At 44.7% G+C, this 18,853-nt stretch overlaps 1 protein-coding gene across 7 annotated transcripts in view, besides 2 other annotated features; it reads right to left on the reverse strand.

The window, feature by feature from the left end:
- Positions 1-18,853, reverse strand: part of SH3KBP1 (SH3 domain containing kinase binding protein 1) — a 353,624-nt gene that overhangs the window by 305,343 nt on the left and 29,428 nt on the right. The window lies entirely within an intron of this gene.
- Positions 848-897: an enhancer, noted in NCBI's record as "active region_29469". NCBI's record gives its function as "activates an Ori minimal core promoter by ATAC-STARR-seq in GM12878 lymphoblastoid cells {active_cell/tissue: GM12878}" and the evidence as "EXISTENCE:reporter gene assay evidence [ECO:0000049][PMID:35858748]".
- Positions 17,104-17,283: an enhancer, noted in NCBI's record as "active region_29470". NCBI's record gives its function as "activates an Ori minimal core promoter by ATAC-STARR-seq in GM12878 lymphoblastoid cells {active_cell/tissue: GM12878}" and the evidence as "EXISTENCE:reporter gene assay evidence [ECO:0000049][PMID:35858748]".

Consider the following 18,853-nt stretch of genomic DNA (forward strand, 5'->3'; position numbering starts at 1 on the left):
ACTAAAAAAAAAAAACAAAATTTTTTTTTTTTTTTTAGACAGGGTCTGGCTCTGTTGCCCAGGCTGGAGTGCAGTGGCACCATCTCAGCTCACTGCAACCTCTGTCTCCCAGGCTCAAGTGTTCCTCCCACCTCAGCCTCCCAAGTAGCTGGGACTACAGGTGCACACCACCATGCCCAGCTAATTTTTGTATTGTTTGTAGAGACAGGATTTCACCGTGTTGGTCAGGCTGACTTCAAATGTTCTGCCTGCCTTGGCCTCCCAAAGTGCTGGGATTACAGGCGTGAGCGACCACCCTGGCCATTGCCCTTTCTTTAAACTTAAGTAATCATGCACAGCCTCCTTGCCTTCTGGCCACAGCTAGGTCCTGACTGCCTCCACATCACCTTCCAAGCTCTTCTAGACCCAAGGCCTCTCTGGCCCCTGCCACTGAGGCAATCCCAAGCTGTGTCTTGTCTTCCCTGTGAGCCCCTGAATGCCTTCTGGGTATGGATCACCCTTAGTTCTGCTGGGGCCCCTATAAGCATCCATGACATGCAGTAGGTGCTCAATAAAGACTTGATCAACTGACCACTCAGCTTGCATTTTATGATGATAGACCGTTCCCAGCCCAACAAAGGTGCTACTAAAATGTCAAGTGTCAATCACATTTTGCAAATTGAGTCATATTCTTCCGTGCACTAAGGGAGCTTGCTATTTAAAAGATCCTGTGGTTAATTCTTTTGTAACATGAATAATTACTTCCTGCTTTACCTTTCCTGTCAAGATGAATTTTTTTTACATATCAGGTTTCTCTAAGAAGAGGAAACCTGTGGCTTTGTTAAGAGCTCATAAATCATGAGGATATGTCTCTCCTACCCACTCTAAGGGCTCTTTCCAGTGCCCTCTGCAAGCCTTTGAAAGGTTTAGAACTTTGATGTCCAATACAGTGTCACTGCAAATGTGGCTAATGACTACTTGGAATGTGGCTAGTCTGAACTGACGTGTGCCATAAGATACATCCCAAGTTCCAAAGACTTGTTTAGAAAAAAATAATGTGAAATAGCTCATTATTTTCACATCAATTGCATGTTGAAGTGATGTTTTAGATCTGTTGGGTTAAATAAATATATTATACAAATTAATTTTACCTTTTTAAAATTTTATTAATGTGACTACTAGAACATTTAAAATGACATGTGGCTTGTATCACGTCTCTATAGAACAGAATGGTTTAGGATAATACTTGGCAAACAGGTGGTGAAGATCTTGGATGATACAAACACAGCCAAAATTATATCACAAGAGCCCAGAAGAAAGTCTATGCCCCCAAAACCCATTTCCTTGCCTTCGAGAGGCTGCAGGTAACTGCAGGAAGGATGAAACATTACCTATGATTTTTTTAAAGTGGTACCCTTTGAGAAATTACCTCTGGGTATGAGCAGAAAATTAAAACATTAAGCTAAATAAAATACATCAGAGGTGTAATTAGGATAACAGTAAACAAAATCCCATATTTAAAGACACCATAAATTACAAAACTTAAGAACATCTCCCTGTCAGAAAAATACCACCCTCCAGCTGTGTGCTGTGCCAAAAGGCCAGCCTCCACAAGTTTGCTACATCTACAGTCACTGCAAAAACCAATGCTACAGTTAACCCCATGTTACAAAAAGATAGAGCCAGGGGAGATAAGAGATCTGCTTAGAAATGCAAAACACTTCACCCTCCCCTATCTCTACCTTCAAACTTGCTGGAATGTCTCCTCCCCCAAAGACGAAATGGGTGGTTTTTAACTGTGGGTTGGCTAAGCCAGCTGCCTAGCAGCTTCTCAGGGCCAGCTTCTCACTATGGCGGTGGTGGTGGCGGTGGTATATCCGTGGCCCTGCTCTGTGACCCAGTCCTTCCCTACCTCCCTCTGCTCACTGTCCTTCCTGTCTCCTAGGACCAGTTCACCTCACTATAATTTCACACTGACTTACCCCAACTAGACTGCAACCTTCATCTGGGAAAAGCCCTTATCTTTGCCAGGATTCTAAATCCTTCACCTAGCATCCTGTCTGCTTCAATAAATATTTGAATAAACCAGAAAGCATGAAGGAGAATGAAAGTTTCCAATTAATTTCCTCCGCTGTATACACATATACACAATGTCACAGAGGTCTCAGTGCAGTAAGCTTTAATCATTTCAGAAGTAGAAATGTTACACACTTACTGCTTTTGCACTTATTGTGTTCTGTGAATTCTGAAGAATAAATTTTTAATTTTAGTGTTTTGTTTCAGTCCTCTGAAGGGCATAGAAAATCAAGAAGTAATTTTTTGCCAAAACAGACTTCACCAAAAAAGATCATGAGTACTGATCATTAGAGATGGAAAGAACATCAGATATCATCTAGTCTATTTTTTTTTCCTGAATTTTACAAATGAGGAACTGAGGCCTAGAAGGTTCCATGACTTAGGCTTAGAGACATTGAGAGGTAAATAATGGCAGCATCAAGCCCAGGGCTACGTTCTCCTAAATTATGGTCCACTGGAGAGAAGGAAGGATTTAAAAGAGAAAGCAGAGAAACCTGAGACCAGCGAGATACAGACTTTCACACCATTGATGCGGGCGGGGGGGTGGGGGGGGGCTCTTTTTTTCTTTCATGTATAACATAGTTTCCAGAATACCCAGAAAAAGTTACACCAGTCAGGAACATATTTAAAAAAAAACTATGTTCAAATCTAAAAAGACAGAAAACCAATCAGTGGCTGCCTAGGGCCGGGGATGGGAATGGGGATGGACTGCAGATGGGTATGAAGAATCTTTTTGGGGTGACGGAAATATTCTCAAATTAAATTGTGGTGAGAGTTACAGGATGCTGTAAATTTACTTGAAAAGTATTAAACTGTACACTTAAAATGGGTGAAATTTTATACCTCAGTACAGCTTTTACAAATAAAAATTGGCCGGGCGCAGTGGCTCACGCCTGTAATCCCAACACTTTGGGAGGCCGAGGCGGGCAGATCACAAGGTCAGGAGTTCAAGACCAGTCTGACCAACATGGTGAAACCCTGTCTCTACTAAAAATACAAAAATTAGCTGGGTGTGGTGGCACGTGCCTGTAATCCCAGCTACTCAGGAGGCTGAGGCAGGAGAATAGCTTGAACCCCAGAGGCAGAGGTTGCAGTGAGCTGAGATCATGCCACTGCACTCCAGCCTGGGTGACAGAGCAAGAATCCATCTCAAAAAAATAATAATATTAAAATTAAAAGTCTAAACAATATATATTTAAGAATTTATTATTGTAGATTGTCGGTCATTGAGGTGGTAGACTGTGTTTGTGCCCTAGCAGGAGAACACTCCCCATGCAGGGAGGGGAACTGTTTGGGGGAACTTCCCCTCCACCATGAGATAGTTTGATGGGACTGTCCATCAACATGCCCTGCCCTCTGCCAGCCAATGTATGACATAGGACCCAACTGTGATCAAAGCAATGTGACAAACACTGGAGACGGCTGGAGCAGATTCCCCCACCAGGGCTCTCAGAAGTGAGATCCCTGAAGCTGCCCAGTTGCCATCTTTCTCAGACCTGATCCTCTAGCTTCTCCTTCCACCCTATAAACTACCCCAATGCCTTCTGATAAATCCTTTTTGCTACCTTAGTTAAGGAAGAGTTGGTTTCTTTTACTTAAAACCAGAGAACCGTAACAGATACTCGTGCATCAACTTTTTTTTTTTTTTTTTTTTTTTTTTTGAGACGGAGTCTTGCTCTTGTCCCCTGGGCTGGAGTGCAATGGCGTGATCTCGGCTCACTGCAACCTCCACCTCCCAGGTTCAAGCAATTCTCTTGCCTCAGCCTCCCGAGTAGCTGGGATTACAGGCACCTGCCACAACGCCCAGCTAATTTTTGTATTTTTTAGTAGAGAAGGGGTTTCACCATGTTGGTCAGGCTGGTCTCGAACTCCTGACCTCAGGTGATCTACCCACCTCGGCCTCCCAAAGTGCTGGGATTGCAAGCGTGAGCCACCATGCCTGGCCATACATCAACTTTACATACACACAGACTCTTCTCTATGCAAGTCTGCACAAGGCCAAGTTCTTACCATCCAGTGCCCTCCCATTAGTGTCAGGGCTGAAGGGTTTGGGGGTCTGAATTTCCCAGGTCAAGGCCACAGATACTGTGGGGATCTCCGCGTACAATAAAGCTGACCTACATACCAGCCACGTTTTCCTTTTGGTGTCTTCACAAACACACCACTAAGGGACATCAACCCAACAAGCAGGTAATTCCCAAGACCTGCATCTTAAAAACTGAACATCAGCTTCCCCAACAAAGACAGGCTCAGAACACGGACCCCAGTGACAGACAGTCCCTGGGCCTGAACTCTCTCCCTGGGCAGGAGGCAGCACACCTGTGGCTGGATGGCCTCTGGCAGGATTCAACAATGTCTGTAGCAGGCCCAGTAGCAGCTCAAAGAATTGGGGAGCAGCAGGGAAAGCAGAAAAGAGATGAATCAAGAAAGAAGAGAAAAAACAAACCCGGCTGTGTGAGAGGAAAGAAAGGCCCACCATTGCCTGCCTCAGACACCATTAAGGATACTCTTGTCACTTGCTGCTTTCCACGAAGGCCCAAGGAACCTGAGCCTCCCAGCCCATCTCTCCTCTCTTGTCACCTCTAAGCATGAGGTGTAGGAGAAAGCCCAGCAGGCCTGGGAGCAAATTCCAGCTTAGACATTCACTGGCTGTGTGACATGGGGTGAGATTCCTAGCTCGAGCCCACTTTCTTTGTGTTTAAAATCAGAAGGTGATCTGTGGCAAGGGTGAGACGTGATATCTGTAAACTGTATACAGAAGCTGCTCCATTAATGCCAGATGCTAGTCTTGCAGGTCATTATCATGCTATGCTGTGAGGGCTTCCCCGACATGCCCTCCCTACACACACCCTGGAATGGGAGCTCTTAAAGGGCAGATCTGAGCACCCTCTCCTCCTCGTCTGGTGTCTGGCACAAAGTAGGTGCTCAATAAATGTTGGTGACTGAGTGCACCATACGACACCAGGAGTGTCCTTACAAAGTACTGACCTCGAACTATACCTTACCATTCAACTCAAAGAAATGCAGTTACAAATGTGAGCCTTGTTATTTAACTTGAAGGCTAGAGAAAGCTGATGATCAACATGACCAGTTGGCCACAAAACAAGTATACGCCACTAGTCCAGGCCTCTCAAGTTACTGTGATCAGTCTTGATTTCACTCTTACCTTCACCACAACCAATGCCTATATAGCAGAGGGGCATTCAATCAAAGATCAGAATGAAATGCAGGGCCTGGATGGGAAAGCATTCACAAGACCTGTGGGCCTTGAGTCCCCTACCACTTGCCTTCTGAAGCCTCTGCCTCACCAGGGGCTGTCCCTGGAACAAAACCTCAAGGAGCAAAAACAAAGGGTTATCAAACGCTTCCTGAAATTAACCCCTGCAAACCTAACACACAGCTCTTTTAAGAATATGCATTAGAGGCCGGGCGCAGTGGCTCATGCCTGTAATCCCAGCACTTTGGGAGGCCAAGATGGGCAGATCACAAGGTCAGCAGTTCAAGACCAGCCTGGCCAAGATGGTGAAACGCCGTCTCTACTAAAAATACAAAAAAATTAGCCGGGCGTGGTGGCGGGAGCCTGTAATCCCAGCTACTCGGGAGGCTAAGGCAGAGAATTGCTTCAACCCGGGAGGCAGAGGTTGCAGTGAGCCAAGACGGCACCACTGCACTCCAGCCTGGGCAACAGAGTGAGACTCCGTCTCAAAAAATAGAATATCCATTAGATAGACTGGATAAAAATAACTTGACCAGAAGAAGGCTTTTTAAGTGAAAAAGAAAGAATGGAGAAAGTGGGCAGGTGACTTTGCAGGTTAAAAAACAGGCCGGGCACGGTGGCTCAAGCCTGTAATCCCAGCACCTTGGGAGGCCGAGGTGGGCAGATCACGAGGTCAGGAGATTGAGACCATCCTGGCTAACACGGTGAATCCCTGTCTCTACTAAAAATACAAAAAAATAGCCGGGCGTGGTGGTGGGCACCTGTAGTCCCCGCTACTCGGGAGGCTGAGGCAGGAGAATGGCGTGAACCCAGGAGGCAGAGCTTGCAGTGAGCCGAGATCATGCCACTGCACTCCAGCCTGGGCGACACAGCAAGACTCCATCTCAAAAACAAACAGGCAGACAACAACAACAAAACCTAGTAAAAAATAAAGACAACAGGTTAAAGCTGGATAAGCCTGTGTAGAGAATGGTTCTATACAACAATCACGGAGGGGAAAAATCAGTGGAATCTTAGAAAACCATTTTTTTTTTCTTGAGATGGAGTCTTGCTCTGTTGCCCAGGCTGGAGTGCAGCGGTGCCATCTCAGCTCACTGCAACCTCCGCCTCCCAAGTTCAAGTGATTCTCCTACCTTGGCCTCCTGAGTAGCTGGGATTACAGGCATGTGCCACCATGCCCAGCTAATTTTTGTATTTTTAGTAGAACGGGGTTTCGCCATGTTGGCCAGGCTGGTCTAGAACTCCTGGCATCAAGTAATCCACCCACTTCAGCCTCCTAAAGTGCTGGAATTACAGGGGTGAGTCACCATGCCTGGCCCGATATTCTTATTTAGTTTTTAGAGCCTCCAATTAATTCCCATCATTCTACTTTTTTTCAGGTAGTGTTACATGGAATCTCAGAAAAACACATTTTTTAAATGGACTTAATTGTAGTCTCCTGAGCTACTAGGCACAACTGTTTATGAAGCAATATTCTTTTCTTGTTTTGAGTCAGTGTCTTGCTCTGTCGCCCAGGCTGGAGTGCAGTGGCACGATCTAGGCTCCCTGCAACCTCCACCTCCTGGGTTCAAACAATTCTCCTGCCTTGGCCTCCAGAGTACAGGCATGCACCACCACACCCAGCTAAATTTTTTTTTAAGTAGAGATGGGGTTTCATCATGTTGGCCAGGCTGGTCTCAAACTCCTAACCTCAAGTGATTGGCCAGCCTCAGCTTCCCAAAGTGCTGGGATTACGGGCATGAGCCACCACATCTGGCCAGAAAACCAATTTAATAAAAAGTCTGTTTAGTCAAAAAAGTTTAGCCACTTAAAGACATAACCTTTTTTTGTGCATGGAGAAGAAAGTATGCTGCTTTATATAAATATTTGACAGTGTTACATAATAAAATGGCTTGAGGATGAGTAGAGATTTTCCTGACTTTATAATGATAGCCTAGTTCTCAGATTCAAAAAAGACCCAAAGACAAGTGCCTGATTAGAAAGAGATCCCCTGTTTTTCTCAGTGAGAAGATCCAAAAGGTTGTGGGCTAACCTGAATATGTAAACCTCAAAACAGAAGAAGAAACAGTCAAGTGTCTGCTTATACTATGTATTAATGTAATTACAGATTATGTGAAATAAAATAATTAGAAAACATCGCTCCCCACCCCCCAACACCCTCTCATTTCATGAAACAATTTTATTATGGATAAGGTATCTGAAGGATTTGCTCCAACTATTTTATTCAAAATAAATTCATAGAGCCTTTATGGTACAGGATACTTTGTAAGGACTATCATGGAAAGCAACTCTTGCTTGTCTTGAGGATAGGATAGTAAGGGGGCAGGTTGGCTTTATATTTGGACATGTTGTATGAAAGAAGAAAAGCAAAAGCCTTCCTGTTGATTTCAGTGTGGCTAAGCTGAATCAGCTGTAAGAGGCAGGGACCAAGTCAAAAGGAGGGAAGAACGATTCCACAGAAAAATGTGGTTGGTCAGCATGGTTGGGGGTGGGCAAGGGCTGAGTCACTCACTGCATGGCCTTCTGTTAAGAAACATACTTTCTCATAAGAGAGATAGCAGACAGTGAGGTAACGTGAGAGGAAACCACAGTGAATCCTCACTGCTTTCTCCCCGGCAGATTTAATGTCCCATCTCAGGCTTCATTTATACTCCCAGGTGTAGTAATCCTGCTACCGCGAGCCCCTAGAAGGCAAAAGGGACATGTAAAACAGAAGCTGATGGGCCTCCTGAAAGAAAAGTCATATTGCCCAATGCATCTTCCTCCCTCAAGTGCTTGGCTGAGTGCTTGGCCCCGTCAGGCACTCAAGAAATGCTTGTTGTCGAGGGGCAAGAAACTTGCAAGGATGATTTTGACAAGAAGCTGAGAATCTGAGATGAGATCTGAGACAAATGTACAGGGATAAAAGCAGAAGATAACAGCAAAATAACAGCTCTTCAAAGCAGTCTAGAATTTCAAACTGTCATAAGTATAACTACTTTAGGCTCCCAGACATCTAATCTGGAGATACCATCTAGCATATCTGCAACACCATAATGTGCAGGTTATTAGGGAGGGTGCATTTCACGGTTTCATCCTAAGTTTCACCAATGATGTCACATAGTAATTGGGAGTCTATCAAGACAGTAACTACCAACGTTTGTAAGTCATTTGAGTTGGTACTTTTTAATATTGAACAATAATTTGAACTAAAAAGTTGCTAGTCAAGTATCTACTTCACAAATGTTTTCTTAATCAACTACATTGTAAATACTTTATTGCAGCATCAGGAAGCCACTGAGTAAGTATGTGTCTATATAGAGTAACACAAAAAAGAAGTGAAGTTAAAACCCAACATTTGCTTTCCTTTGAAGGTTATAGCTTAAAGTTCGAAAAAGAGAATAAAACCTAAATAAACTGGATTGGGTTTAAAATTTTTGAAACCTTTCCCAAAATTGAAATATGAGTTAGTGAAAATAAGTAAATAAAATTAAAAAGATCAACAGCCTCACACCAAAAGACTCCTAAGAATAATGATCTATGAAGAGCAATGTATACATTTTTTTCTGAAATAATCACATTCAGTCTCCAAATACCGTTTTTCACAAAAAGAAAGCCAGCTACCCTTAGATAAATGGCTGATTTCATTTCTGGGGCAGGAAAGGTGATAAGCCTGGGCCATCTTGTCACACCAAGAAAGCAAGGAGGCCAGCAAACACTACTAGGGTCATGTCAAAACAACTCAGAAGTGAACCTGAAGAGGCTCCCACTGGCCACAAATGGGGCAACATGAGCATGATTAACAATAACTGCCTTGAAACAGCATTGAAAGTGCACTGAAATAATAACTGCATTAGTAACAATAACTGGATTGAAAGACATCAAATTAATTTGATGTCTCATATGTTATGTGATATATCTTTCACAGTGATACTTTTAAAACATCATTGGCCACCTTTGGAAGATGCTAGGGAGCCAACTCATTGTTTTGAAACTGGTAAATTTAAAAAAAGAATCAAACATTTGTCCTGCCTTTCCTATATGAATTCAAGATAACCAAATGGTTGATGAGAAATTTCTCTGTATAGGAATATTCTGGCTAATAAAATGAAGAAGGAATGAGAGAATTGGACAATCAACGTTTTGCAACCTCTAATGCAATCAAGAACCTGAGCAATGGTCACTAGCAGCTGTGGATATTGATTGATTGATTGATTGATTGAGACAGGGTCTCACTCTGTCACCTGGGCTGGAGTGCAGTGCCATTGTCATGGCTCACTAGAGCCTGGAACTCCTGGGCTCAAATGATCCTCCTGCCTCATCCTCTCAAATAGATGGGATTACAGGTGCGAGCCACTGTATCCAGCTTTTTTTTTTAATTTCTTTTAAATTTCATGGCTTATTTTTTAAAGTTTTTGTTCAGAGATGAGAGTCTCACTATGTTGCTCAGGCTGGTCTCGAACTCTTGGGCTCAAATGATCCTCTGGCATCAGTGTCCCAAACTGGTGGGATTACAGGCATGAGCCACCGTGCCTGGCCAGCTGTGGACATTACAAAAAGAGAGACAACCAGGCATCTGGAGCCTCATGATGGAAGTGTGTGTCACCGCTGGCAAAATATTCTTGCCAACAAACGGAACCTGAATCAGATCAAGCCTCTGGATTTACCACCAGTTTACAGGGGATACAGAACGTCCGAAAATATGTTAAATGGCACTCTAAGGAGGCAATCTGCAAAATCCAGGCTGTAGGACTGTAGGCAAATGACTTAGTTTCTTCAACAACAACAAAAGCAAGGAAAAAGAGATGGCAGAACCTAGATTACAACAGACTCAGAGGCCAGGTGCGGTAGCTCACACCTGTAATCCCAGCACTTCGGGAGGCTGAGGTGGACGGATCACTTGAGGTCAGGAGTTCAAGACCAGCCTGGCCAACATGGTAAAACCCCGTCTCCGCAAAAAATACAAAAATTAGCTAGGCGTGGTGGCACGTGCCTGTAATCCCAGCTACTTAGGCGGCTGAGGCAGGAGAGTCACTTGAACCCAGAAAGTGGAAGTTGCAGCAGTTGCAGTGAGCTGAGACTGCCACTGCACTCCAGCCTGGGTAGCAGAGTGAAAAAAAAAAAAAAAAAAACAGACTCAGAGACAACCAACCAGTTAGAAAGTACAGACCTTCCAAATCGTGATTCAAACAAACACCTTTTAAAATATTTAAACTACATGTAAAAATTGGATATTTGAACTTAAATGTCTGATGATAAGGAAACACTGTTAGTTGCTGTATGTGTAAAAATGATTGTGATTATGGTTTTGAAAAGAGTCCTTATCTTTACAAAATATATGCTGAAACACTTCCGGATTGTTAAAATGCTCTACATGTGCAAGTAGAAGAATAATGTCCTACACTGAACTGAAAACATGCAAATCTTTATGCTGGCGTAACTCTAGCTGGTGTAATCACTATTTCACAAATGATTCAGCTGACCATGCTGGGCATAGCAATGCACCTGGAAAGGAAGATGGGGGTTTTAAAGGCAACAAAATATTAAATGTGTGTATTGTATACATATGTATGTTTCAATATTTGAATTTGTTATAAAGGGTACTGGGCATCTATAATTTTTTTTTCTTTTAGAGACAGAGTCTTGCTCTGTCTCCCAGGCTGGAGTGCAGAGGTGCGATCTCAGCTCACTGCAACCTCTGCCCCTGGGTTCAAGTGATTCTCATGTCTCAGCCTACTGCATAGCTAGGATTACAGGCACGCGCCACCATGCCTGGCTAATTTTTGTATTTTTAGTAGAGACGGGGTTTTACCATGTTGGCCAGGCTGGTCCCGAACTCCTGAACTCAAGTGATCTGCCCGCCTCGACCTCCCAAAGTGCTGGGATATATAAGCTACTTAAAAAATACATATAAGCTACTTAAAAATGAGTAAGTAGCACAATCAAAAGTGTGTTCTACACCAGATCTATGAGTGTGGACAAGGCCACCTCTGCCAACATTCTGAATTTGAGTTTCTTGAGATGTGTTTTACATAAGGAAGGCTGTTGTTTGCGTTGTTTAGGTGTAAAAGTGATATTGTGATTATGGTTTTTAGCAGAGTAATTATCTGTAAGAATTGCGTGCTGAAACATGACAGAAATCTGGTAGCTCACCTGGCTAGCCCTCAGCACCCTAACTCTCTGAGAACTGGCCCTTTCGTCAGGGTGCAGCAAACTTCCACAGGCATCTCTATCTGTACCCGCCTGGTACTCCACATACCCTCACTACTCAGAGGCATCCCCCAGCCTCCCCGAGACCTACTGAATCTGAGGCTGCATCATAAGATCCCCAGGACACTCACATGCATGGGATGGTTTGGGAAGCGCTGGCCCATCTCACACTGGGTTCCTCACCCAGAGATGTTAGAATCCCCTGTGAAACTTTCTCATGCCTGTCTCCTCCACACCCTGGTTCCCATCAGAATGGGGCGGGGGGCAGGGTGGGTCATGTCTAGGCTGAAGATGATCTCCCAGGTGACTCTATGTACCCCTACTACTCTCCTAAATCCCTTTTGCAGAAAGAGAAACATAAGTCTGAAGCTGAACAAAAGGGTCAGGGGGTGCTTGCAGACCTCAAGCCTGACAAGGCACCTTTCAGTGCTATGAGCCTCCAGATCTGTAGAAGTATCAAAACAAAACAAACAGCAGCAAGAGGTTCCACATTAACAATGGGCAGATCCCCTTCCTCATCATTCACTGGGGAAAAAAAAGAAAAACACTTAAAATGCAACACACGAATCCAGATGTTTCACCAGCCCCTGTCCAGAAAAGGAGGAGGAATTTCCAGATCTAATTACATGTGATTACTGCCTGTGTCCGCCACTAGACTGAAAGCTACAGGAGGACAGACAGCATGTCTGCTTTGTTTGCCTCTGTAGACCCAGGACCGGCCTGATATATAGTAGGAACTTCATAAATGTTTACCAAATGAAAATATACTCTTTTGAGACAGGGTCTCACTCTGTCACCGAGGATGGAGTGCAGTGGCACGATCATGGCTCACTACAGCCTCAACCTCCTGGCCTCAAGAGATCCTCCCACCTCAGCCTCCTGAGTAGCTGGGACTACTGGCACCTGCCACCATGCCCAGATAATTATTTTATTTTTTGTAGAGAAGGGGTCTCACTATGTTGCCCAGGCTGATCTAGAGCTCCTGGCCTCTACTGATCCTCCTGCCTCGACGCCCTGAGTAGCTGGGATTACAGGCATGAGCCACCATGCCCGGCAGAAAATATACTCTTAAAATCTTGTGTCAGGTGCCTTTATCCTCCTCACTGTATCATTTAACTGTAACGATCACTCTGTGGCCAATTGTGTTTTCCAAGATGGCTACAGCAACATCTCCTGTCCCTTGAGCTCTTCTAGAATGTGATCCAGCTGTCAACAGGAGAAATCTAATCTTCCTCCCCGGGCTTTGGAACCTGGGCAGGCTGGTGACCACTTTGACCAACAGAGTGGAGGAAAGTGATGCTGTGTGACTTCTAGGCCATATTATGCAGTTTCCAACTCACTTGCTGGAATACCCCAAGACAGCCATGCTGTAAGGAAGCCAATTTGCACTGAGACACACCAGCTGGCATGCCTAGTTACTGAGTCATCCCAGCCTGGCCCAACATGTGAGGGACCCAGCCTTCAGATCGTTCCAGCCCCCAGCTGTCATGTCCACTCCAAACCTCAGGCCTTTCCAGCCGAGGCCCCAGACACTGTAGAGCTGAAACAAGCCCTCCCTACCACGCCCTGTACAAATGCTTGACCCACAAAACTGGTAAGCATAAAATGGCTTTTTGAAGGTGCTAAATTTTGGAGTAATTTGTCACACAGCAACAGGAACTGGAATACGCTCTACAAGGTGCCTATTATTGTTCCTGGTTTAGGAAAGAATCCAACTCCCAGAGAGATCAGATAATATTCCAGCCGCCAGCCAGTCTGGACTCAAAGTCCGTCTTCTTGCCCCTGTTCCTGCTCATATTTTTTTCAATCAATAAAGATTTTCTGAGACATATGTTCCAGATACTGTAGCTGCACAGAAAAAAAAAAAAAAAAAAAAATCCACGAACATACCCAATTGCACACATGAATATAGGCAGTAGGTTCAAATATGAAACCAGGCCAAATTAGGCCTGCTGCCCTTCTACATTCTTAGCTGACATTTTCTCAGACAGAATGGCTCTTTGATCCAGTAAGTACTTACTGACGGTCTGCGGGGACAGGGTCACCATGCTGGACAACAGGCAGATGAGTCAGGAATGCATGATCGGAGAGAAGTCAGAGAACAATAAAAAAAAGAAGGAAGGGTATCTTTCTCTGGCATTGGATAAAAGTGGATCAACATTACAACAGTGATATAAAGCCATGAAGATGAGAGTACACAAGCGAGTTGACGCCTTCTCTTAAACAGGAATCAAGGTCATCTCTTGGTTAGGGTCAGGTGAGAAGAGAATTTGAGGAGCTTGAGGAGAGAAAGTCTGGAATAAACTCACTGCAAAATGCACTACAGAATTTTCTTTTATCTCTGTCTCTGTGTATGTGTGTGTATGTGCGTGTGCACGTGTGTGTGTGTGTTTTAATTTACAAAAGAAAAAAGAGTGAGAGAGAAGTAAATGGAAGCATTAATGGGTGACAATGAGGACCACTGCAGGGCCAGAGACAAGCAGGGCCCAGGTGCCCCAGGGCTGTGTCCAGGTAGGAGAGAAAGGATTTTGAGGTGAGCTCAGTGGCCTGTGGCAGGACTGATCTAGGGAAAGTGGGGAAGCTCAGTGCCTAACAGATGCCAAGACAGCAGGATACAGGCTTGGAGGGGGTGGTCAGGGAGTAGGGGAGATGGTGGCATGTGGAAACATTATGATGTCTCACCAACTGCATAGGGCTGGGTACCTAAAGGGTGGAAGCACACCCTGCGAGGATATGTGCAGGGAGCTTTGCAGACCCAGAAAAAAAATGGTAGACAGCACAGAAGCCCTAAAAGGAAGGAAGGACAATACAGTGTCTAAGGATGGGTGGGGGTTCTCCTCCTCCCTTCCCCCTGGCACATCTCTCACCTACACAACATTCCTTTTCAGAAGTCCCTTCTCGCCCAGATGCAGTGGCTCACGCCTGTAATCCCAGCACTTTGGGAGGCCAAGGCGGGCAGCTCACCTGAGGTCAGGAGTTCGAGACCAGCCTGGCCAACATAGTGAAATCCCATCTTTACTAAAAATACAAAATTAGCCGGGCGTGGTGGTGGGCGCCTGTAGTCCCAGCTACTTGGGAGGCTGAGGCAGAAGAATCGCTTGAATCCGGGAGGCAGACGTTGCAGTGAGCCAAGATCGCACCACTGCACTCCAGCCTGGGCAAGAGAGAACGAAACTCCATCTAAAAAAAAAAACAACAGCCAGAAGTCCCTTCTCAAAGACTCTCTCTAGAACACTGTCCTCACAGAATGGGAGACTACCTGTCCATACAAGTCTCCTGGTATTAGCAGCCTTTGGAGGGTCTTGAGGTTAAACCTCTCTTCTAAATGACAATTTTTCTTTCTTTCTTTTTTTGAGATGGAGTCTTGCTCTATTGCCCAGGCTGGAGTGCAGTGGTATGATCTCGGCTCACTGCAACCTCTGCCTCCTGGGTTCAAGCAATTCTCCTGCCTCAGCCTCCTGAGTAGCTGGGACTACAGGCATGTGCCATCACGCCCGGTTAATTTTTAGTATTTTTAGTAGAGACGGAGTTTCACCATGTTGGCCAATCTAGTCTCAAACTCCTGACCTCCAGCAATCTGCCCGCCTCACCTCCCAAAGTGCTGGGATTACTGGTGTGAGCCACCACGCCCAGCCGGCAGCTATTTCTTTAAACATACCTAGAACTAGCACTGAGTCAAACAAGCTGGACTCACCAGTCTACGAGAGCGATGTGCCTACATGTATGTTAACATCCCCTTGGAGTCAACCACATAATAGGTCTGGAATGAATATTGATTGTGTAAATGAGTGTTGCCTTTGAAAGATATTATGGGTTTGAGGAAGTTCCCAGTCTTGATCCTGGAACTCAAAGGCCGCTTCAATATGGTACAGGTTTGACATTAACAACGTCACCTGCATTTATACCTGGCTCTAAGTCCAGCTGGATAGTCCTGGTCCCCATCTCCCCACACGATCTTCCCCCAAGAGCCCCATGGATGCTCCCATCCATGAAATCTCCTTCCCAACTCTTTACATCACAAAGTGCCCTCCAATCTCTTGGTCTGAGGTCACCTTCAAAACCCTTTTTCAAGCCACCTGTCATTCCATCATTCTCAGACTTACTAACTATAGCGTTCACTAAATCACTTTTACTCCTCATACACTGCTTTGTAACATCTTTTGAATTATTATCCCAGACAAGGAGTTGGTAAGCTTTTTCTTTTTCTTTTTTTCAGATGAAATGTCACTCTGTCACCCAGGCTGGAGTGCAGTGGTGCGATGTCGGCTCACTGCAACCTCTGCCTCCTGGGTTCAAGCAATTAGCGATTCTTCTGCCTCGGCCTCCTGAGTAGCTGGGATTACAGGTGCGCACCACCATGCCCAGCTAACTTTTTGTATTTTTAGTAGAGAGGGGGTTTCACCATGTTGGCCAGGCTGGTCTCGAACTCCTGACCTCAGGTGATCCACCCACCTCAGCCTCCCAAAGTGCTGGGATTACAGGCATAAGCTACCATGCCCCGCCGGTAAGCTTTTTCTTAAAGAGTCAGATAGTAAGTATTTCAGCTTTGGTGGGACCAATGTTCCACTCTAACACCTCAAATCTGCCTTTACAGCACTAAAGCAGCCACAGACAACAAACATAAATGAGTGAGGCTGTGTTCCATAAAGCTTTATTTACAAAAATAATCAGAAGGCCAGATTTTAGCTGTAGGCTATAGTTTGCTGATCCCTGTCTCAGACTGTTATTTTAACCCTTTCATTATCTTTTACATTCTATGTCTTGCTACCTCCAAACAGATTTAAGCTCCTTAAGAGAAAGGACCAGGTATTATATATTTTCATTTACTCTTAGCCTCTACCTGGCTCAGTGCTACACATAGCCTCTACCTGGCTCAGTGCTACACATAGCCTCTACCTGGCTCAGTGCTACACATACAAGAAATACAGATCTATACTTTTTAAATAAACATCTGAGTATATGTTTAATGATGTGCCACATACTGCAACTGAGTTTCTTTTTTGTCGTTTAAGTGTGCTCACTGACACCGCAAACATTAATTTCTAACAACTCATACTAATCTAATTGAACTGCGTGCCAGAAAGGATTTTTTTTTTAAACTTTCCTGGTCTGCTCCTTTGCCAGATTTTTTTCTTCTAATTGTTTCCACAGATGACCTAATACATTCATTCCACTGGCTACTTAACAGACTAACACATTCCACAAGCTATTTAACACCAGTAGAAGGAACTTAGGGTTTCTGCAGATAGAAATGCCCATTTGGGTGTTCAGTGTCTCCCCCATCGCATCATGGGAGCATGGGGAGACTGAGAGGTTTGCACAGGTAAAAGGAAAGCTTTTAAAAAAAAAAAGGAGAGGAAATCTATCACTGCTGTTCCCCACAGAAGTAGACATGAAACTATTACCTGTAACCAAAACAAAATTAACTTCAGAGTGGGTTACTGACAGTTTCTGTCATATGCTCCTAGCTTGCTTCTAAATCAATAACTGCAACAGAGAGAAGAAAGTAGATATCTTCTGAAGAATTACAAAAATGCAATAAACTACACTACCCTCCCCCAAAAAGCCCTGCTTTGGAGTATCTTAAAGTAGATCTCATATAAGGAGCTAAAAAGTAACTATTGGGTTATTTTAGAATGAAATGATAAACGGGCCTCAGAAAGCCCAAGACTTCACTTCTTGTCAGTAGCGACCTTTAAGGCCGATAACATCCCCACTTCCTTTTCTCACCTCGAATGAAGGCAAGAGCAGCTCGGTGCAGGCGGCACAGGCTATGCTGACCCAGGTCACCCAAGTCACCCTCACACTCAGTTAAAGTTTCAAATAGCTGTAAAGGTCTCTTATGGAAAAAAAGCATTCTTCATTCTCCCCAACTTCCCCTCCCCAGAGGCAACTACAGCCTTCGAAAGGAACCTCATGGCCCTCAAAAGGAACCAACCCCACCAACACCTTGATCACAGACTTCCAGCCTCCCGGACCGTGAGACAACACATTTCTGTTGTTGAAGGTGCCCAATCCATGGTACTTTGTTCTGGCAGCCCTACAAAACTAACACAAGTATTTACATCCTTATGACTACACAAACATTACTAAAAGCCTAGCCACATGGTACACTAAGATTATGTTTCTTTCCTATCACTAGTTTCTTTTCCCCTAGAGCTAATACTAGTCTTTTTTTTTTTTTTTTTTTTTTTTTTTTTTTTTTTGCTTAGTGGAGAGTTCACTTAAAAATGGATTCAACTCCAAACTCATCCTCCCTGGTCTAAATCATCTCTCAAGAGGTCCATATGCATCAGATGGTCTGTCCATTTCATCCTCTCTCAGAGCTTTCCAACCTAAGGACTGGAGGCGGGGAGGGCAGGGTGAAAGCTGGGGTGCTCTAATCAATTGGCAAGATGGGCTCTGTCCTTGATACAAGCTCAAAAGACTGCATTATCCGCAAGTCTGGGGAGTAACTGGAGGTTTGGGAGCAGAGAGGAAGTATAACTATAAATATGTGTTCTCTGATGACACCTGCGGCAGAAGGACTCATGGGCAGAGGCTGCAGGTGGCAGGAACACACTAGTTAGACAGCAAACATGGTAAATCAAGTAGGGGAATGGGAACTTGAGATGAGGCAGGGGAATAGAAGCAAGGAGCTTGATTAAGAGACATTCCTGTGGCTGGGCCCAGTGGCTCACACCTGTAATCTCAGCACTTTGGGAGGCCAAGATGGGTGGATCGCTTGAGGTCAGGAGTTTGAGACCAGCGTGGCCAAGATGGTGAAACCCCATCTCTTTAAAAATACACAAATTAGCCAGGTATGGTGGCATGCGCCTATAATCCCAGATACTCGGGAGGCTGAAGCAGGAGAATCGCTTGAACCTGGGAGGCGGAGGTTGCAGTGAACTGAGATTGTGTCACTGCATTCCAGCCTGGACGACAGAGCAAGATTCTGTTAAAAAAACAAACAAACAAACAAAAACACCTGCGTAAACAGAATTCTATGCAATGTGAGTACAAGTAAAAACGGCCTTAATTAAAGATGAAATGACACCTTCCCTCCACACTAATTCCAAACTTCCTTGAATTCTACCTTTGCCACTATGATAAATTCCTTTTTTTAAAAAGGAAAGGGGCTGGGCACAGTGGCTCACACCTGTAATCCTACCATTTCAGGAGGCCGAGGCGGGTGGATCACTTGAGGTCAGGAGTTCGAGACCAGCCTGGCCAACATGGCGAAACCCTGTCTCTACTAAAAACACAAAAATTAGCTGGGTGTGGTGGTGCACGCCTGTAATCCCAGCTACTCAGGAAACTGAGACAGGAGAATCACTTGAACCCAGGAGGCAGAGGTTGCAGTGAGCCAAGATTGTGCCGCTACACTCCAGGATAGTTGACAGAGCAAGACTC

Source organism: Homo sapiens, chromosome X (assembly GCF_000001405.40).
Source record: "Homo sapiens chromosome X, GRCh38.p14 Primary Assembly".
NCBI classification, from domain to species: domain Eukaryota; kingdom Metazoa; phylum Chordata; class Mammalia; order Primates; family Hominidae; genus Homo; species Homo sapiens.